Genomic DNA, 25,591 nt, shown 5'->3' with positions numbered 1-25,591 from the left:
CTCTGTCGCTCTTCTGCTCATGGAACCTGGGGTTTGGGGTTCTTATGGGCACGGGACAGGTGGTGGGGTGGGCCAGAGTGGTCTTGAAAAAGGCAACATTTGGACACAAAAACAAGAATTCCTGTTCTCATTTAGGGTCGTGGGTCCAGGCTTGAAGGTGGAGCCCTCACCAGGGATCCTGCCTTTCTGCCTCCTGTATGTATCAATGAGATGTTCTAAAATTAGATATTGGCAATATCTACACAGCTCAATGAAGACTTTTTTAAAAAGCACTGAATTGTGCACTTTAAAGGATGAATTTTTTGTGATATGTGAATTATATCTCAATAAAGCTCTTATACAAAATAAATAAGCCTGACCCTTGCTTTTAAGACTGAATGCTATTCCTTCCTTAATTCCTTCATTCACCTTCTACATGACTGCCCCTCTCCAATGCCCGACTGATCAGGAAGCTTACTCCTGTGCCCTTCACTTCTTCCCCTCTCCCATCCATAAGAAGTAGCCTAGCAGCTGGGCGTGGTGGCTCACACCTGTAATCCCAGCACTTTGGGAGGCTGAGGTGGATGGATCACCTGAGGTCAGGAGTTCGAGACCAGCCTGCCCAACATGGCGAAACCCCGTCTCTACTAAAAATACAAAAAATTAGCTGGGCACGGTGGCAGGCGCCTATAATCCCAGCTACTCAGGAGGCTGAGACAGGAGAATCGCTTGAACCCAGGAGGCGGAGATTGCGGTGAGCTGAGATCGCACCACTGCATTCCAGGCTGGGCGACAAGAGCGAAATTCCATCTCAAAAAAAAAGAAATATCCTAGCTTTTTTTGTGAAAAATAATTGGGAGAATGTGTAGAGAGTGACTAGGGGCAGAGAGTGGTCCGGGAAAGGGTGAAGCAGAGAGGAATAAAAGATGAGTGCCACATACCACAGCCCAGGGACCAGCTGGAGGCAGACTTGAGTGGGGATGAGAGCATGCATTGCTCTGGAACACCAGCAGCAGGGGAGAGATGTGGACGAGAAAATGAAGGAGTGCCTTCAAAATACAGCTGTGGGTTATAACTTAAATTCCACCCAACATTATCTGAGAGATGCAATAACAACTGGAGTAACCTTCTCACTCCTTTTTTTTTCTTTACCACATCATGTGGGGACCAAAGGTGTTTAAGTTAATAGTTCTTACTCTCACTTTTCAGTTGAAATATAAAAGGCTCAGAGAAATGGGAAGATTGATAGGGTTACATAGCTATTTAGGTAAAGGATTCAGGTTGGAATCTGGATCTCCAAACTCAAAGTCTTAGACTTTTTTCACTAACAGCAGAGACTTGGGAATCAAACTGCTTGTATCTGAATCACAGCCCTGCCACTTACTAACTGTGCCTCAGTTTCCCCAATTATAGTCCCTGCCTCAGAGGATATTTATAAGGACTAAGTGGGTTAATATACAAAAAAAATTTAGAACAGCTAAACACTCCATAAATGTTAAGTAGCAGCTGCAATAGAAGTAATAATTGATAGTAATAGTAATAATAGTGATAGAAATAATGGTAGTAGTAATATTAGTAGAAACTATTTGTTCAAAAAAAAATTTACAAGGATGGTTCTGGCTCCATATACATAGGAATAGTAAATGCCACTTAGGCCCACTATAGATACATTGTCCTTTTAAAAAATAATTCATCTCCCTTTGGAAACTGCAGGAACACGTAAACTCCTCAGCCATTGTATCAGAACTGTCTCAAGGAAACCAGGAAAAAGGTCTCTTTAAAACTCCTCCATGCTGGTTGTAGTGGCTCACACCTGTAATCCCAACACTTTGGGAGGCCGAGGTGGGTGGATCACCTGAGGTCAGGAGTTTGAGACCAGCCTGACCAACATGGTGAAACCCTGTCTCCACTAAAAACACAAAATTAGCCAGGCATGGTGGTGCATGCCTGTAATCCCAGCTACTAGACAGGCTGAAGCAGGAGGATCACTTGAACCCGGGAGGCAGAGGTTGCAGTGAGCCAAGATCGCGCCATTGTAAAAATAAATAAATAAATAAAAACCTCCTCTTGACAGAATATATGAGGGGCTCAGTGGTTTGGTTATGTGAAACATAATTTCCTATTCTGCTTTCCTGAATAGGATGATGATTATGTAACCCAGGATTTGGGGTATGCACAGTGAAAAATTATCCACTTATAACTGCACTTTGAGTCCTTGTTTCCAAACCTTCCAGGAAGAAGCTCAGCCCTTGAAAAACAAAAATGGGTTGGATTCGGAGATATCTGAGTTGGAGATGAACTTTGACAAACTTCCTTTCTTACCATACTAAAATCCCTGCCCTGGGAGGAGCTTATTGTTTTCTATACATGCAATGTATGTAGAAGCGTAGTCAGCAACTGCGTCTAAAGTGTCTTTACTCCACCTCTATGTATAATGACCAACGAAAGCCCTGGTTCCAACCTTGTTCAGGGAGGCGCTGCTTTGGGAACCATCCCGTGTCCTCCTTACTCCTTACTTGTTGCAAGTAATCAAATCCCCTTATTAAATCCTTTTTGGTTGTGGTTATTGGACTGACACCTCTGAAGCAATTGAACTCACTCATTTTGTGGGTAACAATAAGAATTGGTGATCTTGATACATGTGAAAAGCAACACACTTTGTATTAATTTTCTCCTAGAAAAAAAAAAAAAAAGAGGGAATTTGCCCCCTTGTTGGAAACCAGGACCCATAGCCAGAGCAAGTCTTACACTGACCAGACTCCCAGGATGGTAAATAACACAAAGAGAAAGCTGTTACTCATCCATCTCTTCCAGCATATGTGTCCCCCAGTTCGAAAAGGTATAAATTATTCCCTTCTTACAATGGCTGCCATCCACAGGCCCTCTGGGAGTAGGGCTCAGACACTACTCCACACCAGCCAATTTCATACACACCATCGCTTAATCCTCACACTGCTATCACATAGGCATTGCTTATTCACACTGTAACGTGGAGGAAACTGAGGCTGAAAAAAGCATAAGTGCCTACACCAAGGTCAAAAGCCATACTTGGATTTGTCTAAGATCACAAAGCTGGAAAGTGGCACAGAGTTCAAAACCTGACTCTTATTCAGGCCTCTGAGATACATCATAGCTTCCAAGGATGGAAGTAGAGGCTGGAGCTGGACTCCTACAAAAGTACAAAGATATCATATCATTAGCCTCCAAGCCATCAGAGCTACCCCGAGCTCTGGTCTTTTTGCTAGCCTTCATCAAGTCAATTCTTCACTCTAAACTCTAGGCCTAAAACATCTCTCCCAGGTTAACAATATTTCCCTGCACCCAACCCGTTATTTTACAAGCTATTTGATTAACTAATTTGAGTTTTACACCCTCCTCACATTCCCATCTGGGTAGCATATGTTCATTCAGTTACTGAACATTTATTGAACAAGATCATGTAGAAACATCTTTGCTAGGTATCGATAATATAAAGAATAAAAATGGATAAAGCAAGATCCCTATCCTAATGGTATTTACAATCTGGTAAGGAAAAAAAGATGAACAGAAATGATTACAGCAGAAAGCACGAAGTGCTGAGTTCCTAAGGAGCATGACAAATATAAAAGCATGTGAACAGTGACCTTTCTGGAAAGAATGCTACTCTAACATTTTAAGGCTCAGAGTCAGGGACACCCACAGATCAAGTCGAAAGCAAGTCAATAAAAAGTCAATAAAAATCTGCAATTATGCAAAAAAGGCAGGACAGACTCACAAAATCTACTGAACGTGTGCAAGGCACATTGCTATGGGAGCTGCCACTCTTTCCAGAGATAGAGCTTTTCTGGGGAAAAAAAGGAAACATACAAAAAAATAGAGCTTGATATTGATCTAGCAACACGGGCCATCCAGGAACAGCAGGCTATTTTATTCTAAAAATCTATAATACAATCAATTCCTGATGAAGATTTTATTATTCTTATAGAGATAATTTAGCATTTCTATAGCCATACCAACCAACTAATTTTCACTTACTCAATTTAAAAAGAGAAGTCAACTATAGATGTCTAAAGAATAAAGAATGTAGAGATGAAGCTGAGGTGCTTTTGAACCTTTGTACTGCTCTTTTGTTATGAAAGCATATTGCTCCAGTGCCTAAATTTCATCTTTCCTTTTTTAACCTACCACACTTGAAAAAGTCTATAGAAATGTGAATCTATTTCCATGATCGTGAAGTATTTTTGTTTAGGCCAATTAGGGGAAACTGATGAAGGACATTAGATACAATGATGCAGGCGTAATCACTGAATTATGGATCTCTTCTTCTACCTGCTAATTCATTCCTGCTGATAGTCAGGGTTCTCCAGGTCTTAACTTTTTTTCAGGTCCCAATTACTCAATGTAAACAAATGAAGAGGAAGTGTGGGTATTCAATGTGATTCATTTGAACAGAAGGTAGGAAACATTAGTATCGATGTATTCCAGGACTTGCAAGCAAAGCACAACTAAATTTAGCAGCCAGTGATATTGATTTGATTAAAAATGGTTTAAGACTTGTAAATGTCACTGGAATTTAGCAAAATGAATATTATTAAATCCTTCTGGTGATGGGGAAAACTAACAAAGGGATTTGCAGTGGTTTCTGTAATTAATTGCTCTGTCATGATTTATATTAACTTACAGTACAACTCCATTAGCTCAGACCTGTCATCTCTGCTCAAGGAACCACCAAGTAATCACTAGCACATTAAAGAATAAATTAGTTTTTGGCTTGGAGCCTAGTTGTAGAATGTTTCATTTGTGTCTGCTGTAGACATATGTACCTAATAAAGTTGGGACGAATGAGTTAAAGTACATATATATCAATGCCAGCGGGTTATATTTGAGAGACAATATGCTCAGCATTGTTCATTAGGTCTAATGAATCATGGTATTTCAGCTACATCACCTTGTGTTTAGCAAATGCCTTCAGGTAAGCTGAGATGCAAAAGATTCCTTGAAAACAGGTATGTCTCCAGAGAGTTTACCCTCTTAGCAGTCTGTGGTCTGTGGTTGTAATAATAGCTTCATGTGGTTTTTGTTAACACTTCATTACCCTAAAGTGGGATAAATTATCCTCCTGCTTCTGCCCTACGTGCAAAGGCAGAGCCAAAGCCTTAGCTACTACTACTTACCATAGATTATGAGGATTTGTAAGGTTCTATCAAATCATCTTTGACTTTGATAGTGGGATGACGCCTTAAGCAGTGCTTGATAGAGAACTGTTTTACATTTCAAAGAAAGCTACAATTGCCTTGGGGGTTTGTAAACTAAAACTTGAACCACTTCCTTTCCATTTCAGGCCAAGGAAAGCTCAGTTGGCACTCCCAAGATGATAACTGACACAGAGAAGAGGACCTGTGGGCAATGTCCTATGGAGGCTGTGCACAAGAAAGCTTGTGGCCCCAAGAGTTCACCAAATCTGCAAGGCTCCAAGGGCAAAGTCATTTCAGCTCAAAATCTCTGGGCACTACCCAGACGTTCATAATTTGTCCTGGATCATTTCTGCAATTTGAATCATCAGATGTCAGCAACTCCTTCACAGATGCTATGCCTGCAGTGCAAGGAGCTTGCTACACAGGGGCTTCTCCTGCCTGGCTGAATAGAGTGACAAATGTCCAAAATGCAGAAAGATTGCAGCCTTAGCCAGCTGGAAAATGCATACATTATTGAGGATAAAATATGTAGAGTGTGAGTCAATTTGTGAAATATGGGGAAGCTTATTTTTGCTCTTCTAATATGCTAAGTGATTAGATTGCATATTTGCAATGATTGGTGCTGATGGCTTTGTATTTAATTGGGGGAAAATCTGGAAACACCCCCAAAATAATTCCATTTGTTTCCTGCGTATTATTACATAGTTCTGACTTCATTTTAAGTAACTAACCATCTTAAAAAGAAACATTTGCTCCTGAAATAAAAGAAATTCTAAAAAAAAAAAAAAAAAAAAGACAGTAGCAGGGGAGGAAGTGAAGAGAGACAAGACATCAGAAAGGAGGGGGATGATGATAGGGAATATGGTAACAGAGACGCAATGGTTCAAGGAGAATATACGAGGATTTTGTAAAATAGAAAAAATATTTCTAAATATCGGTTTCAGCTAAACAATAAGCAAAGAAGGAAATAAAACTAGGCTTTCTGTGAAGTTTTTCCGTTTATTCATGTTGTTATGATGCCCTAACTAAAATCATCCCAAATATGGGGACAAGATTTAAAATAATGTCTGTGAAATAACTTCTCAGCTCCATAGTGTCATGTTTATTTTTACGGAGTATTTTTCATGATTTACCTTTGATCCTAATATATCAGCAATTAGATACAAAAATATGTCCCAAACTAGACTTCGATAGTAATAGTAGCCAGCATTTAATATTTGTTCAGCAGTGAGTGAATCATTTCATCAAAATAAGAATAAAGTGCAAAGAGGGGAAGCCAAGAAGAAAAAAATAAAATCAATTAATCAGCCAAAATAATTAGATTGGCTGATTACTTTTTATGAAATTGCCCCTTTGTTTTTTGGTCTCTCTTATTTTCAGTTGCTCTTGGAGCAAAGCCTCTGCGCTCAGAGAATTCGCAGGCTGGTGGGCAGATAGAATTAAGAGGGACTACGTGGAACACAAAGAGAATCTTTTCCTTAGGCGGTGCTTTGTGATTCCTGCCCTTTTGTTTATGTGTTTCCCAAAGGATTTGGAAATATCAAATATAGATTCTAAATCTATTAGAACAGTAGATTCCCTATGCACACACAAAAAGAAGCACATGCAGATCAAACATCCGCATTTTTCTAATCTTTCCTTGATGGCTAACATAGAAGCAACTAGATTATCCAGTTATAAAAATAGGGGTGATTCAGAAAGCATTAACAATTCCCATTTTCATAGTCTTTTGTTTTGAGCCAACTAATAATCCAGAAAGATAAATTAAAGTATCTTTATCTTTTTTTTTCTTGTTTCTCGCATCTGTTGGCCAGTTTTTGTGTGTGTGTGTGCTTGACAACTTCAAACAAATTATATAGCTTTCTCCCTTTTTTTCCCTCCACTTTGAGCTCTGGCAGAAGTTTCACATGCCGGGTTGAGCCCCAAGTCCTTCAGTAAAGCAAATGTTTCATTTTCAGCAGAGCCAACATATTCCATTCAGACTCATTTCTTTCACTTCTAGATATAAAGAGCAGCTGTGTCTCCCTAGTTGCTAAAGAAGATCCTATGTACAAAGTTAACAAAACACAGCTCGGACAATGGATTTGATCTCTACAGCAGGGAAGCCGTACTTTTCAAATTCATCTCTTTCTGGCTCCAACAAATTACAGGTCCCTGAAAAGATCTGGTGACCCTTTTTAAGTGTGCTTGTTGAACAAGCTCAGAGGTGACCATATGATTTAGTGCAGCATGTTAACACTTTGCAAAGCACTATGGTCCAGGATAGACCATCTATGGAGTACAGGCTCCCTCAGTTGGTGGCATTAGGGGATCCATTAACTCTGCACAAACTGTTTATTCAACCACTTTCTACTGATTGATGGAACTGTTTACCTCTCCACAGACAGGACTCCATGCTAATATATGGGTACCTCCTTTGACTCCCCACAAGATGCTCTTTTACCTTCTCAAAATGGTGTTGTTTAAACATTTGTTCTCCATTTATTTGATGGGACTGGGCAAGGCATACTTTTATTAGCAAACTTAAATAGTCCTGTATTTACACACTTGGAAGACATATTCAAGCATTTGGAATACAAATAAGAAACAGGTCATTCTTCTGGAAAAGCACTGTGCTATATATCAAGTATATTTCATGTTTTCCTGTGCAGCTTGTGGTCTCAGAGTTAGTGGTGAAGTCCATGCAACTTGCATATGTACCTCACCAAAGATATTCCACAAATTTAGGTCAAGGCTAGAAAAAAAGGTATCACTTGAGTACATAGCAGAAACAGTACTGATTCTATCTTTTTTTTTTTTTTTCCAATAAGGAACTGTGTATGGAAATACAAATTGAAGGGTGCTGTGTTTCTGATTGAGTGCACTGATTTTTTTTAACAGTCTCTTAAACAGTGGTGCTCTGACCAGCTGGTTGGGCAACCCAGTCCTTAATCTAGCTCTGCCCTTCTGCCTTCAAATCCAACCAAAGTTGCTCATCTTCTCCTGTGTTGGACTTTTCCTGACTAGCAGAAAAGGCACATTCCTCCCTCTTGAAGAAATAATTCCTGTTGCATAATTATTTCCACATCTTACCATCCGTAGATATATGTTTTTAATTATTTTTGAGAACTCACAAGAGATTGGATTCTGAGGTCTCTATTCTCTCTCTGTTCCTAGCCTAGGCTCTTGAATTCTATGTAAGAACCCTCTGGACATAAAATAAAGATTAATTACAATGATAATTCAATAAAGACTAAATTAGAATATTGTGACAAACAAAGGTCCTACCTCTATTCCATCTTTACTCACATTCCTACATGTTCTGTGAAGCCATATTTACATGTCTGATAATTATATGCTGGCTAAGATGATGCCCAAAAGTGGCATCTAGTTGACATGAAATTTGACTCAGGTGGTGTAATGCCAGGGAAAATGTTTGCCCCCTTTTAGGATTTAAAAAGAATCTATTCATGAGGATTATTTATGATCTGCACAATGAAAAATTGGTGCCCTTTGTCTAGAATTAATAGTAATTTGATGGCCTTAGACTCAGAAAATGTCAAATCAAACAGGAGCTGTTTCAAAATACTGATTCATGAAGGCAGGTAATACATTTACTTATATAATAACAAAATAAAATTCAGAAAAGACTCTAAGTGTCCATATTTAACTAATTAATCCTATAGAGAGCTTGACATGAATCAAAAAGAAAAAGTGCAAGAGTGGAATGTTCTGATTTAATAAGCATATTAGAGTGCACTCTCTCTCGCTATCTCTTTCTTTGTTCTATGAAGAAGCTGTATATGGTAAATATAAAAGATCCATTGTCTGGATCCATTTAGACAAAGGGCTGAGAAAAACAAAGTCATGAGTTTAAAATTTACGCAGGTCAATCAGCTTCTTCAGCTCCCATGACTCAGAAGGTGCCCTTACCCCAGAGGATCAAAGTATGGCCTATTGGCCAAATAAGAATGTCAATAGAAGAATATGAGTGAATCAGCACAACAGTGTTTATTCCCACATTTTACCTTAAATCAATATATGATTTTAATTCTTTTTATGAGCCCATAACTAAAAGGAGAAAAACACCTTTAAAGCACATGTCCTCTAACAATGATAAGTCCTACATTAAATCCAAAGACAACAAACATACAGGGAGGGATTTGGTGTAACTTGGCATAGACTTTGGTGTTTATTCAACGTAAGACTGTAGCTACATGACTTTGGTCATGTTACAGTCTCCCAAAGCTAAAATAGAAATTATAATACCTCCTAGTGTTTTTAAAGAATTATTCAATAAGGAGTAATTAGAGGTACAGGTATAGATTTAAATTCTATTTTTAAAGGGAATACATTGGAGATGCTCTCAACACAAGGCTTCGTGTCTGTCTTTCTTGTTGCTCCATTGAGTTAATTCTCCATATAAACAAACAGCAAGGTGATTCTTGCCTACAATTTCATTTTGTCTATTAATGTTTGGAAGAGTATTTTTGTTATGCACTACTTCAAAGACATAAAATATCAAATACAGGGTATTACAGCAGGTACATATCTTCCTGATAATGACTCCTCACTTCAAGTCAGTCATTTGCTGTTTGGGATAACTGCCTACCTAGGGTCATTTTTGAACTTTAATCAAAAAACTTCTCCCACATAATTTTACTAGGATGACTAAAGCTTCCAGAATTATAACCATTCATCAACTACACAAAAGATTTCTTAAGCAGCTAAAATGCTCTAGGGAATAGAGATTTGATAATAAATGACATGGTTTGTTCCTGCCTTCAAGGACTGTACAATCTAGTGATAGAGACAGACATATAAATTGCTATGCATTATACAAGGCAGAATAAACATGGTTTATAATAGAAGAAAGAGCTAAATGCTATTGAGTCACAGACTGTAGAGGGATGAATGATAAAAGAAAGTTCAGGAAAGGTTTCCCAGAAGAGGCAAAATGTGGACTTCAATAGTGAGTAGAACTTTAAAAGTCAAAGAAAGGGATTTCTACAATGAGCAAAGATCTAGGGCATCAGTCACAGCCAGCAACTTGGTATGGTGACAATAAAACCTGAATGGATAGATGCCAGGGTCAGTGAGGCAGGTCATTAGGTTAATAAGAAAGGGTGCTGGGCCCCATGCTAAGGAGCCAAGAATCCAAGGAGTAAATGTAATCAAAAAGTTTTGCAGAGGAGTCATAGAAACAAATCTACATTTTCAAAAGAAAACTCTTTAGCATAGAGCTGAATTGGAGAGGAAAGAGCTTGGAAGAATAGGGAATGTTAGGTGTGAATACCTAGAAAAAGAGACAAGCCAGTGAAGCTGGGAATTATGGTGTGCATTAGCAGGTAGAAATTAAGAACTCTTAGCAATTTGGTTGGCTGTGGGCTGGAGAAGCTGAAGGGTGGAGTGATTCAGGGATTCCAGCCTGAATGTGGCCATTACCCAGGGAAACTGAAAAGGAAGAGCAGGTTTGGGAAAAGGGAAATCACCAAGGTTGGCTTTAGACATTGAAGACAAAAGGATAGAAGAAAAAGAAAGAGGAAGAAAAGGAAAGAGAAAGGAGGAGGACAGAAAGAAAAGGAAAATAGCAAAACAAAGATAGATTAAACAGAGAAGGAGACTCATGTCCCAAAACAGAGTCAGTGTTTCAAAAAGCCAAATTCTTTGATATCATAAAGAGAGGAAAACCAGGTGATTTAATTCATCAATTGTATTTAATTTGTCAATTATAGGATTTATCACACTTTCTTGCAGTTTTATTGATCCATCACTAAACTACTTAAATTTCAGATTACTCATTCAAAACTATAATGTAATGGGTCAACTATAAATGCATTCATTCATTTATTTATCCAACAAATATTAATTGAGTGTCTACTATACGCCAGGCACTGTTGTAGTAAATCAAAAATCTTTGCTTTCACAGATTCTATCATTCTATCAAATGGGATTTTGAATCCTTTGAAAAGCAAGTTCCTGGAAAATAGAGTTGTCAAATTAAGGCCTTATTTCTCATTTTCACATGAAAGGAAATGAGACGCACTCATTAATATTTACAATGTAAGTTCAGGGACAAGAGATTTTATGGCTGCAGGAATCTTCAATCCTTTTAAGGAATGTTGTCTTTTGTCAGTCATGGCTCTGTGCCTCGCCTTCACAGTCTCTGTACTCATTCATGAAAAATGAGATCATTTAGATTAAAATGAGTGGTTTGCAACTGGCTGCTCATTAGGATCATCGGGGGAGTTTGAAACAAACAGGCACCGGACCCCACCCCAGACCAGTTAAAGCAGAAATCTTTGGGGGTGGGGAGTTCTTATTTCAAACCTCTCCCAGGTGATTCTAATGGTCATTGCCATGGTTGAGAACCACCAGTTGGACTATAAATTCTTAGTTTCACAGAAAGGAGAAGAGAGACCCACACCCCTACCTACCATGTTCTATAATTCCACAGCTCTACATGACTAATTTTCAGCCTGTTAGGTTTGGATACACTCTTTCTTTGAAGGTGCACTTCATTTTACATTAGTGAGCTGTTCATTCCTAGAAGGCAACATGAGCAATACAAGCTGAAGTGGAGAGCTGGAAATTCTCCAGGAATTTTGGATAATTGTACAGCCAAACTGGTATAAATCAGAATAAAAGTACATCACACATCTACTGACAATATATATATTTTGTTAACCCTTTAAAAATGAGGAAATACAGATTTTTAATCGTTAAATATTTGAAGAAGCCATTTACCTAAATATTTGTTTGGCAGGAGAACATCTTCAAATAAATATTATTGATGACCTAGTGCAAGAATAATATTTCCTAAATGTCTACCTATGCAGTTGACTATTGCATTTCCTTAATAATTTATTTGCTTTTACTTCAGTTAATACTGGGTGGATCTTTCCAGAAAGAACTGCCCTCTTTAAGTTTTTAACTGAAACCCCATTCAGAAGCCTCACCACTGAAAACTAATTTTTGGGGAAGATGTAACAGACAAGGTGGCCTTGGCCTTAATAAATGTGGAATTCTGTAGAATCCAAAGTAAAACTAAGTTTTCCTGATCATAACTCCAAGTTGATTATGTTACTTTGCAATTCATATAAAAAGTCTTCTTTTATTCTTCTTTCAAATTGCCCTCACCGTCATAGGGTCCTAAGAACTCAGTGCCTCAAATGGTTTGATTAAAATTGATTGTTAAAAGTTGAGATCAGAGATTCCTCTTTATGCATTCACTCCTGGCTTCAGTGGCTTCTTGGCTTTACAGGAGGCTCATTAATAGACCAGCTTGCCCAGTTTGTCATCTATTTCATTATGCAAAATATATACTTTTCAATTACTTTTCCTGTGTGGAAATCACTTAACTCCAACCTGATATAATGATTTCTTTGGGTTTCTTCTCAACCTCTGAATGGCACAGCTTTCCTAAAATCTCAACTGGGGGTAGAATACTTGGAAACCCTGATGGGAATTAATTTTAATGCAATGATCTTTATGTGCCCATTAAAATAGGAGTGAAATAGCTTGCAAAGCTGACCACTGGGCAAACCTAGTGTTGACCTCAAAGGAAGAAAAAAAATGTTTAAAGCTTTCTGATCATTTTGTTTAATCTATGTAACGTGGACTGTAAAGAAACTATGCCTAAAATAAAGCTTTGGTTTGCAACACTAATTTTATTTCAGTTCTGTGAATAAAGTGGAAAAAGTTAGAATGGGGATCTTCTTATCTTCTGATAGTCTTATCTAAAGTTAAATATTTTACAACAGTAGTAATCACACACACATACACACACACGCACGTACACACACACACAGACACACACGGAGCCAGAATGGTTACTATAACAGGTATTTGGTGGACAACTTTGCACTCACATTCAAAATATAGTTCTTTTATTTACCATATTTTCCTTTTTCTATACAAGAATCCAGATGCCCCAAAAGTTGCCCAAACATAGGTCTTTCTGGCTGTCTTCTAGGTAGACCCTGATGCATTTACATGCCCACAACGCTTCTTACCAGGCCCCCATAATATATGGTTATATCAACCTGGATATCTTGGTCCACCTGACTCAAAGTATTTTACTTCTCAAAACCTTAGTGCATGATACTTTTTTTTTTTTTTTTTTTTTTGAGATGGAGTCTTGCCTTGTTGCCAGGCTGGAGTGCAGTGGCCCGATCTCGGCTCATTGCAACCTCCACCTCCTGGGTTCAAGCAATTCTTCTGCCCCAGCCTCCTGAGTAGCTGGGACTACAGGCACATGTCACCACGCCCAGCTAATTTTTGTATTTTTAGTAGAGATGGGGTTCCACCATGTTGGCCAGGATGGTCTTGATGTCTTGATCTCATGATCCGCCCACCTCAGCCGCCCACATAATACATATTTTAAAAAGTACTAACACCTACGAAAATTATCTAGGTATTAAGAGGGGGCACGAAAAATGAGTCTAAAGATGTTCTTTTATTGCCATGATTCTTCAAAACGGGCAGGCAGTGCTGGCCCAAATGATACCTTTGTGAGATTTAAGGTAAACTGCAGCTTCCTCAAGACTCTTTACTGTTATCTGCCTCAAAATTGTTGCCAATCAATACATAAAATCTATCATACTATAAATGTGAATAATGTCCCCCAGAGGTAATATGCAACTTGCACAACTGTACATAGCTGCCCTGGGGAAGGAATTCTAAAAAGAAAAAACTGCTTCTAATTTTGCTTCTCTGGGGGTTTATCCTAATTCAATCAGGTACCAGAAAGGAGCGACTTTTATTACACAGTATGTATGAGAAATTGATTATATATATATATATAGTATGTGTGTGTGTATATATATATATTCATCAGGAAGAAATCATACTTCTGAATTTTTTGATTTGGCACTTATGACATAAAAGGACTAGGGTATATTTAAAGCAGTTCTTTGCAAGCCAGTAATAACCCAGAAAAATCTACCCTTATACTCCACATTGTCTGAATTGAAACTTGTTTGACAGCAGAATTGACCAAACCAAGGAGGGTTTGAAGTGCAGAAAATAAATGTGCAGGAGAAGGAAAATTAAGCTTGGAAGCCTCCAGGAGCAAAAATCTGAAAAACTCAAGCTTGGCAAGTATGATCAAGGGATTGCAATGGGAAGGCCAGGCAGGCTATGAGTGTCACAGCAAATGCAGAAAGGATCATCTCAGAGACTTCTGGAATTAGGCAGAAGGCAGAGAGGCAGAAGGTAAAGAGCTTTGACACTATACATACATCATTCAAATCCTGTATCTGCCTCTTACTCCCTGAGTCGCTTAGAGAAAATAACTTAATTTCTCTGATTTCAGATTCTCCTCTAAAAAAATAGAAATAAAAGTATCTAACCTTCAGGGATACTCAAACTAGGCAAGCAGCAAATTCCCTGTACCTTTCTGCTTTGCTATGTGAAGTATAACAAATAATTAAACAGATCTAATGTGTGCGTTTATATATCTGATGTTCATAGTTTATAAAGAAAGTGACATTATTTAAAATAAATGCTTGTCACTAAACCAACTTCATACTTCCCGTGCCTATTCTTGCTTCTTATAAAAAATTCACTTGACACTAGCTATTTTTTAAGTACATGGATTAGAGTATTTGACAAAATGTAAGGATATCCACAATAGAAATATTTCCCAGTAATTTACTAATTATATTTAAAACTGAATTACATCCATTTAGTGCTTTTCCTGTCATAGCAGACCAGTGTGCATCGGCAAATTTACTGACATAAAGTCACTGTGATCTTACATAAAGAAACAAGGATGTCAAAAATATCCTACAGTTGCAAATGATAAAATAGGCAATGTCTGGAAATGAGAATGCTATTACCAAAAGTGCCTCATCAGTTACCAGAGGAAGCTGGCAGTATGCAGAATGCAATGACTTCACTGTGATTGACTATGACACATAAAAGCTGTCAGAACCAGCACCTACCCAGGGATTAACCCTTTACTTTTCCAGCAAATTACTGATGGCACCTCTAAGCAGAATGAAGCTTTGCCTTGCATTGATCTGGCTGGATAATCCAGAAGATCTTAGCTGGGACAAGTCTGGAGGAAAAGTAGAAACCAAGTGTTTTATCAAACCCATTTCACATTATCTCTGGGTAATTGGCACAGAGAATGTGCAAAATGGTTTGCCAAATCTGTCTGAGATCGAGGCTTTACCCAAATGATAGACTCCTATTACTCTGAGCTAAACAATAATGTTCCTAAATGTACAGATGTTTAGAAGGATATAATTAAAAATCTGCAAAAAAATTTTCAAACCCCAGTACATTAGAGACATTTTGCTGGGATTTGTATAGGATTTAAAGAAAAATATTTAGTGCCCTGCCTTCAGAAACAAATTTTATACAAGCAAACCAACACTTAAATGTATAATCAAGGAAAGAGAATCATCAGTCAGTTTAGGGTAAGCTATGCTGCCTACACTCTTCAGCTGACTTTTTATAAAAGGCCCTAAGAAAGTGCTTTCCAGACCAGCTAGAGAGAAAAGAGGGTGTGTCAGTCAGCTCTCGCTTTAAAATACATTAAATCCAAGTGGCTTAAAACAACGACCATTCATTATTTCTCATAAGTCTATGTGTTGACCAGGTGCCTGGATCATTTATTTTATTTTTGTCTTTGCTTATAAGTCTGAATTTGAAGCAGGATATTTCCCTGACCCCTTGGAGTGACCCCTGACAGGGGTGCCTCATTTACCCAGCTGCAGCTTTCAACTCCTCCGAGGAGGGAGAGTGTGAGCAAATGAGGCAGGAACTGGAGTGTGTGAATACCCCGGAACCAGCTGGCTGTTTTGGAGCTGGCGGGAGTGAACACTCTACTCACTCAAACCCGCTAGGCTCCGTCCCTCGTGGGAGGGAGCGTGCAGGTGAGCGGGTGCAGGAGCTGGGGCCAGTGCTTTCGGGCGCCGGCAGGAGCAAACTCTGTGTGGGCCCAGTGGCAGCATCTGGGGGTGCCCACAACCCCTGAAACCCCAGAGGGTGTGTTACAGGGCTCTTTTAGTGTTAACATATTTTAAGTGTTAACAGCTCAGTGGGCCCTTTTGTATCCGCATTTGTAGCTCCCGAGCTCTTGTCTGGCGTCTAGGAAAAATTAAGTCACACGAAAAATTGAAGGATGGTAAATGTGGGAGATTTTCTTGCCGATGAAAGTGGCTCTCAGCGAGAAGGGGAGTTGAAAAAGGGATCGGGCGGGAAAGTAGTCTTCCCCTGAAGTCTGGTCATCTCCGGCCAGATTCTTCTCCAAAGTTACACCATCAAGCTGTCCCTCCAAAGTCAAGTCACTTCTCTTCAACGTCCAGCTGCTTCTCTCTGCTGGCTTAGTCTGGGGTCTTTATAGGCACAGAATGGGGGCAGGGTGGGCCATGGGTGGTTTAGAAAAAGGCAACATTTGAGCCGGTAAACAGGGATGTCAGTTCTCACTTTGAGCTGTGGTCTCAGGCTTTTCGGCTTGAGGGCAGGGACCTGGGGACCCACCCCTGTGCGCCTAGAATTTGCCAGGGACCCACCCCTGTGTGCCTAGAATTTCTCTGCTTCCTGACACTATCAAATTGACAGGTCAGCTAAGGACTGATTGGTCTAGGCTAACTCAGTGAACTGGCTGGAATGGCTCAATTCTGTCTCAGGTGGTCTCTCCTCACTCGGCAGGCTATCCCACAGAGAAGGGGTACCATACAGAAAGATGTGTGCAAGGCCTCTTGAAACTTGGGCTTGATACCGGCATAGGGATACATCCACTGTATTCTATTACTAAAGCAAGTCACAAAGTCAGTCCAGATTTAAAGGGTGAGGAAGAGGCTCTGCCTCTTGATGGCAGCAGCTGCAAAGTCAACATTGTAAAATATGTGGAAACAGGGAAGGGGTAAGAACTGGAGTTCTTTTCACAATCTATCACAGTCTGCTCTCTGGCCACAGTTATTCGTATTCTTCCCATATGTTAAATATACCCACTCCCTCATGTCAATGAAACACCTGCTCACTGAGTTGTCTATTAACTTATACTAAGATCACTTTTTAAGCTTACATTCCAAGAAGCATAATAACATCTGGCACAACAAATAAGTTGGTTTAGGAAGAACTCTGCATGCATATGGAGCTAACTATTCATAGCCCCTAAGTTTGATCTGTCAGTGAATAATATTTGCCAAGGAAAAAATAAAGGACGAAAAAGCAACACAACCATGGCCAGCAGTCATAGTCCTGTTTTTTTGTTTTTGTTTTTAAATATATAAGTTTTGGAAGACGATAGAGAATCTATATACGTATACATTCCCAGTCCATCCAGTCCATGGAGGAATCAACAAGCTTCCAGGTAACCTTTTGGGAGTGGCTAGGGAACTAAACTATAAATGATCTTTGCTGATTTGTCCTTTCATGTCACTGAAACACTTGGCAAATAATAAAATTATTTTACAATAGTAATTTAACACAAATTGGAAGATTGTGTTTCAGTCACAGAAGTATAAATGTGGCTAGCTTAAGCAAGTTTAATTTTCTGCCCAAGCATTTGGCCACCCAGAGACATGTAATGAAAAGCAATTGAACTTGCTTCTGTAAAACTATTTACTCCCTTCAGTTGCAGGGTTTATGGACCCATTGTTCAATAGTTCTCTCTTGGATTTCAACACATTCTTGATTGGTTGCTAAGTAAAAATATAAAGAATGCCAAAAAGTATACTAGATATTTGGACAGATTAGTTGATAAAGTACCATAATTATGTAATCAACAATTAAAAGACCAACTTGGACATTTAAAAGGCCAAGAGCCCAAGTTTTTGTTTGTGCTTATCATTCCAGTACGTGCTTGGAAAAATGCACACCAACAAATGTGGGCAGCCAATTTAAATCTTTCAAATTGTGCCACCACTGTATTTTCCCTGTCTAGAATGCACTAAAATGTAATCCATTCTAATGCAATTTAATAAAATATATATCATAGAGGAGAGCTACTACTTATTCCAGGTTTATATGCAAATTTATGGCTGTTGAAAATGAACTTTCAGAAACATTACTGAGAAGGTAGTGAGAGGAGCTACTACGTAAGACATAATTTGTTGGACTCAAAGTTTAGCTATATTAATTCCAAGTCCTAGGAAGTCTCTGGGAAGTAGAATCAACAATCAACAAAACTTTTGTCACACAATATAACAGCTGTGGAAGATTGGCATAGTAATAATCCTTAATGAATGATACCTCCTTCATCTAGACCCTTGTATCATTCCCTCCCACACTGCTTCTGAGCTTGGCCATGGGTCTTGCTTTGGCCGATGGAACATTGGCCAAATGACATAACCAAAGACTTGAAAAGTGCCTGTGCACTAGGGCTTGTTCCCTGGTAATGCAGGCATCACGTGAAAATGCCTGAGTTAGCCTGCTAAAGACAGATGAGAAAAGCTCGGATGAGAAAAGAGGCAGCAACAATTGCTAGGCATGCAGTGAGGCCATTTAGACCATTCAGCTCCAGTTGAGCCGTCAGATGACTGTAGTCACATGAGTGACCCCAGCCAGAGTTACAAAAGAACTGCCCAGCTGTACTTAGCCAATGTGATTAATATATAGAATTGTGAACAAATATAATGGTTGTTGTTTATGTGACTATATTTGGTGTGGTTTGTAACAAAGGAGAGAGAACTGATACAGCAGCAAAGTGTCACGTCCTCCCTTTGTTCTCTTAAGGTCTGATCATGCCTTTGCTCATATCCTGCCAGTTTCTTCAGCTTCCTAGACTGGTTCATCCATCCTCTGTCATGTCTGTCCTTAGTCTCTGAGCTGCTATCAATTCAATTCAATCCAATTCAACATGACTTTTTTGAGCACCCATTCTTTCTTCAGCCTTCTATTAAGTTACTAAAAATAATATCAGTTTCACATTCACTAAATGAGCTTCTATTCTGGGATAGCCCCTTTGTGCAAATATGTGTTGGATAAAACAAGTATTACACAGTTAGGTTATTTGAAAAACAGTTGATTTTTACGAGACTTATAGCCTATCAAGGGAGCTTAATATGAAAGTGAGTGTTGGAGAACAGGATATGCAGTGAGTGCACGAATGCATAACTGAGGGTGGTGGGACTGAGAGAAGGATGGTTGGAAGGAAAATGAAGAATCTGCAAGACAGCCATGGGAAACAATCAATAGCGACAAATGTCATTCCTTTGCTTTATGTCTCCAGAAGTCCTCCTTCCTGACCTCTCTTCTTTATACCTTCTTTTTCTTCAAAGCGCGTTCTAAATATCATGCAGCTTTGGCATAAATAGAAAAGTGTGTAAAATATATTAATTTTTAAAAAAATGCTCACAAGAAAAAGCACAGTAGTCCACTGGCATCTCCCCTACCGTAGTGTTTATATCCTCATTAGCCACAAAATCTGGTTGAAAGTGCAACAAAAATAAAGTGGTGGGTGAGGATGAGACACATGGCTGGACATGCTTTCAACAGCAGGCATCTGGCCAGCCACGTCAACAAATGTGGTCCACATGGCACAGAGTAGTGTGGTAGGAATGGGCCATGTAGTAAAGAGAGGAGAAAGAGCCAGTCCTCTCCCAATGTACAGGCTGCCCCCAAACAGATACCCTTCTACTTAGTCAGCACCACCACATTACTCAATTCCAGGCGGACTCACCTGGAACTTTGCCATGTGGCAGCTCTATTCTGCCTTAGGAATGAAAATTTAAACATGTTTCTTATATTTTATGCCTATCTCTTTGCTTGACTGGCCATGTCTATCTAGTAACTATGCAGAAAGATGCTGCTTCTAGGTAGAACCTAACTTACATTGGGTCTTGGACCACAGCACAATAATTTGGGATGACAGAGGGCATTGCCATTTTGGAGATGGGGCAACAGAAACATGCCACCAAATTTTATTGGGCTTCTATATATCTAGGCAAGGAGAGCCACAATCACCAAAATCAATGCAGGCCATGGTTAGATTGTCTCAGCACAGCAAATGAAGGACACTTTGTTTAGAAATTCTCAAGTGAAATGAAAAAAAATTTACAATTCAAAACACAGTATCTTAATCACATTTATTTTCTCTTTTTTTCTTTTTCTTTCTTTTTTCTTTTTTTCTTTTTTTAATTTATTTTTATTTTTTTGAGATAGGGTATCCCTCTATCGCCCAGGCTGGAGCACACTGGTGGGCTCACTGCAGCCTCAACCTCCTAGGCTCAAGCGACCCTCCCACCTCAGCCTCCTGAGTAGCTTTTGGCAGAAAAGTATGAAGATATTCCCAAGTAGTTCTTCCTTTATGCAAGAATAAACAAGAAGTAATTTTATTCAAGAAAATTTATGAATCGAATGATAAATCAAAATCTATAATGAACTCTACCACTATGCTGTGTCTAAAAGAAAACTAAACCCACATGTGTTTATGAACCAAAATTATGTCAAAAATCACTTTAATTTAAAAATGGTTTACCTTCCCTAATTTCATTTTTTATTTGCTATACTTCACCTTTCTCTTTAACTCCATTGTTACAGTGAAGATTTTCTAGTAATACTTTGCATACATTTTGCCCGTTATAGTTAGGCAAACGATTTATGAAGTATTTTCTTATTTAATAGACACAGACCTGTTAGGACCCGTTAGATATTCAACACATTTTTCGGAGGAGGAAACTGAGAGTTGGTCCATTTCATTGATTTGGCCACACCCATGGGGAAAACGGTGGGCATGGGTCCCTGTCCAGGCTAGATTCCTGCTCTTCCTTTTGCACCATGCCTCTGCCCTGGAAAAATCACCAGGTTTTTCCCCAGCCTGGTGATAGGACTGCTTCATGTAACAGAAGCAGACAATGTTTGCCCACAGGTATTGTCTTTAGAGGTTATCTTTTCATTTGCTCAAGTTCTATTTGTGTTGTTTCTACTATTTGTACTTACTGCAGTCTGTTTCTCCATCTTATAAATAAGTTGTATTTGAAATGCTCAGGTATGGAGACCTTTGTAAGAGAAAGACCTTTGTGGCTTATGTCAAACTTGACATGTAAACCGTTGTGGAATATCTTTTCACTTTAGTATTTTATGATTTTTCTGGAAATTGAATAAATCAGCAATTCTAGTGTCTAAAAGAAATATGTGAAGAGAATGTGCTTTTTATCATTATAACTGTATCCAAAATTCCCAGAATGGAAACTTGAAAATTACCTTAAAACATAGTTTGGGATTACATATTTGAATTACTTTTTTAAAATGTCCTATTTTAAAAGAAATTAACATATTTAAAAGAAAAAATTCCTATAAAGTTCTCTTTATATTTAAAAATACATTTTTTCCATAAAACTAGTGGTTTTTATAGGTCATCACAGTATTAAATAAAAATAGTTGGGCAATAGTAAAAGTCTAAATTATCAAAGAATTTGGATTAAAAGATCAAAACAACATTTCTACACTTAAAGAAATTATTTTCCTTTAAGAAAGTTTTTGCTTACCTATTCATAATATGGAATTAAAGTATATATTTCTTATCCAACATACAATTATATGTGTTAGAATGATTAAGTATGTTATATCTAATATAACTATTAAGTATTCTCCTTGTACTCTTTGTTATCCTTTAGAGATTTTAAATCCATAGTAATATTTAAATCACAAAATCAAGCTAAAGATGTAACATGAAGATATTTTCATATACAAACTTGATTTGGATTATGTCACTTAAGCCCTATTTAATACTAATATGTGACATTCTCATAGTACTTTATCACTTACAAAGTACTCTTTTTTTAAAAAAGCTCGTTTTTAATTTAAAATCAAAACAAATATTTAATTCCAAATTATTATTTTTTCTTCTTGGTGAAAAAATGTACACAGAAACATTTGAACTGTCTTCAGCAGAGGTGACAGCTAAATGAAGACAGCAGAGAAAAGAAATGAAAACGAAAACAGAGATCATAAAAGAAAGAAAGAATACTTTTAAAAGATGGAGAAATAAGGAAAGAGGTTTAATGTAAACGTGATACAGTCATGTTGATTTAACTCATACATAAGTACACCAGGCAAAAAAAATGGCCACATAAATGTGCTGGGTAAACTTTAAGAATCCAGAAAGGAGCCATTCATTGCTCTGTAACCTCAGCGGCAAGCTAAAATTATTTCCTAAATAACAGATTTCCAGTCTTGCTGAATTATTGTGTAACTGAGGGGCAATAACTTTAACCTAATCTCTCCCTTGGCTATCTGTAAAATGAACAACATGAACCAGATCCAGGTAATCTTAGATGCCATTTTCAGAAAATTCAATCTTGGAAACTTTTCTATGGAAAATCGAGCCACCCAACAATTCAGGTTTTGGGAGTTTTAATTAACAAAGTGGTTAACATCTAAAGAACAAGAGAAAATAGTATGTTAATTTAGAAGTTTAAAGAGCATATGTTATTTTCTTTTTCAGGCCCCATTATCATGAAGAGGTAAGTTAAGTTTGGCCAGATATTTTTGAGAACTGCTATTGCTAGAAAAGTTTAACTCAGATGTCACATAAAAGTTTCTCTTGTGAAATACTGAGATTTCCAAATAATGCTTACATTTTCTAACAAAGTCATAAGTCAATTTTAAAATTTGCTTGTCTCTTAACTGGAGCAAGGAGTGGAAAATGACAAATTCATATTGCTTCTTATATGCATTCATTCATACATGTGCTTAGTAAGTATTTTACCTAACTCAGTTATGTAGATTTGGCCAATGGAGCTTGTTTCTTTTAGTATTTATCCAGTTTCAAATTTAATACAACCTACCATTATGATTTCAGCAGTTGATGGTAATTTTGTCAGGCATTACAATTCTTATGTGAGAATTCTTATGAAAATAAACTAGATATAGATTTAGATAAGTTCAGGTTATGCTTATTGATATATAGGACTTGACAATCTAATCAATATTTTTTCTCTGTAAAGATTTCAACTTGTTTTATAGATCCATATTGATACATTGTAGTTTTTAAATAATGCTTCAAAAAGCTGAAGAAAGTGAAAAAAATTGTTTTGATCATATGTCTTTTAATATGAGATTTAAAAATTAGAGTTCTTTAACCTGGTAACAAGTTTGCAATTTAGGTGACTAAGTTTGAGCCATCCTTTAAAGAACTGGGTAAGTGTTAAAATTTTCAACCCCTAAGTCTAGTTCTAGTTCAAGAAAGTAAATTGGGCACACACTGTGGCCAATTATATTCCCTGAGAATATATTGTCGTATAACCTAGAAGTTTTTTTTGAAAAATGAAACAATGGAGAAACACTATACCCAAGACTGTCCTGTCTTCAAATCTGCAGAGAAGGTGGATGCTGAGCTGTTGAAATAATAGACAGACCCTAGGTTCAGAATTGCAAAAATTCTGTGGAGGGAAGGAGTTATAAATAAGGCGAAACATTGAGAATGAATTGAAGGCATCTTTATTGCATCAGGCAATTGGCATTTACTCCTAGGCCAAAAAAAAAAAAACAAAAAAAAAAGGTTATTGGGAGTGGGGAGGGCAGGGTGGGTAAGGGGTCCTGAAAATAAGTGGTAGAAAATGCCAGAAGAAAGCTGAGGATTCAAGTGAAGATATTCATTCTTGGAGTAGCTGTAGTTCTAGAATTTGGAGAGTCCTTAACTTGTCAATAAGAGCTTTTGCCCACTCATTCTAAAGTGAAGTCTTCTAAAGGACATGACTCACCCCATTCCACTAAAGGACATGACTCACCCCATTCCACTGTACTTCACATAGAATCACCAGTTATTAGAGGGACTTAATGGGAAAAATATCTTACATATAGAACAGTAGAGGAAACCCACACCATTCTATATATAGTATTTCTTCTTAAAATATAAGTGGGCAAAACAAGATATTTGAGAAGAATTAGTAGCATGGAAGAAAAAGACTAAGATGAACAGAGGTAATTCAGGGAATGGAAGAAAACATACAACACCTAGCAAATAGATGGAAGAGATGTTACATCCATGAAACAAGAATGGTTTGCAATAAAAAAGGTTTCATCAGAGACCACGGCAGAACTCTCAGAAATGAAAACTAACTGGAGAAATTTAAAATTTTAATTAGAAAATTAATACAGTTAAGAAAATATTACAGAATGTAGAACAAAGAAACAAACAGAAAACAAATTAGTGAAAAAAATTACACACACATACACACACGCACACACTTATCTATCTCTCTATATATATCTAGTTCAGTACTTGCAATATAGGCATCCTAGAGAGAAACAATGGACAAAGTAGAAGGAAAAATGATCAAGGAACTAATAAAGGAGATGTTCCCAGACTAAATGCAGTCATAAGTCTGCAGTTGGAGTTTGCTTACTAAGTGTCCAGCACATTAAATAATAAAAGGCTCACAACCTAAACAGATTTTTGAGAAATTTGAACATCCAAATGAAAAAAAATAGAAAATCCTAAGTCTTTCAGAGACAATAAGTAACTACAAAGGAAGAAAAATATGATAAGCATTAGACTTTCAGCAGCAACATGGAGGCTAGAAGGCAATGAAGCAATGACTTTAAAATTCCAAAGGAAAATTATTTCCAACCTAGAATTCCATACCCAACTAAAATTTCAGTCAAGTATGAGGGGAAATTATAGACATTTACATATATGCATGGGCTTACAAAATTTAAACCCTTTCATCTTTCTCAGAAAGTTAGCTGAACATATACTTCTGTGTAGTAAAGAGGTAAGCTATAGATTCATCCCAGAATAGTAGACAAATCCTGAGGAATGGCAATACAGCATGTTGTAGAGTGAAACCCTGCCAAAGGAGAGTAGGAGGAGAAAGGATAAGCTTCATAAAATGAAAAGAGTAGCTCTCAGATAAAAACAATTAATAAGAGCATAGATAAACTTCAGGATTCAAACAAAGTAAATTATGCAGAAATGATCAATCAAAACTTCATGAAATGTCAGAATGTTTTTATCAGAAACTCTCAGACTAAATATTAAGCAAACAAAAATGTGGCTTAATGCAGGGGTCCCCAGGCCCCCTGCCCACACAGCGGTGGGCAAGCATTACTGCCTGATCTCCACCTCCTGTAAATCAGCAGTGGCATTACATTCTTATAGGAGCACAAACCCTGTTGTGAACTGGGCATGTGAGGGATCTAGGTTGCACGCTTCTTGTGAGAATCTAATGCCTGACGATCTGAGGTGGAATAGTTTCATTCCAAAATCATCCTCCTCACCACCCCACCCCCACCCTCATCTGTGGAAAAATTATCTTCCATGAAACTGGTCTCTGGTGCCAAAAAGGTTGGAGATGGCTGATCTAATTGATTACAAGAAAAGAAAATTCACTTCATCTTGATGCTAGAAATATTCTCCTACTGGCTTGGGACATTGGACCTGAGCTGGCCCAAGAGGGAATAATATTTACAAACTTACAGATAATATATATATAAGTATATATATTATACATTATATTAATATATATAATTATTTTATGCATGTATATATTTAACTA

At 37.8% G+C, this 25,591-nt stretch overlaps 1 long non-coding RNA gene across 13 annotated transcripts in view; it reads right to left on the bottom strand.

Annotated features, from left to right (window-relative positions):
• Positions 1-25,591, bottom strand: part of LINC02955 (long intergenic non-protein coding RNA 2955) — a 491,729-nt gene that overhangs the window by 192,730 nt on the left and 273,408 nt on the right. The gene's annotated exons all lie outside the window — the stretch shown is intronic.

This window comes from Homo sapiens, chromosome 12, assembly GCF_000001405.40.
Source record: "Homo sapiens chromosome 12, GRCh38.p14 Primary Assembly".
Classification (NCBI taxonomy): domain Eukaryota; kingdom Metazoa; phylum Chordata; class Mammalia; order Primates; family Hominidae; genus Homo; species Homo sapiens.
The sequence above is the reverse complement of the archived record's forward strand: the minus strand, read 5'-3'. Positions and strand labels throughout refer to the sequence as shown.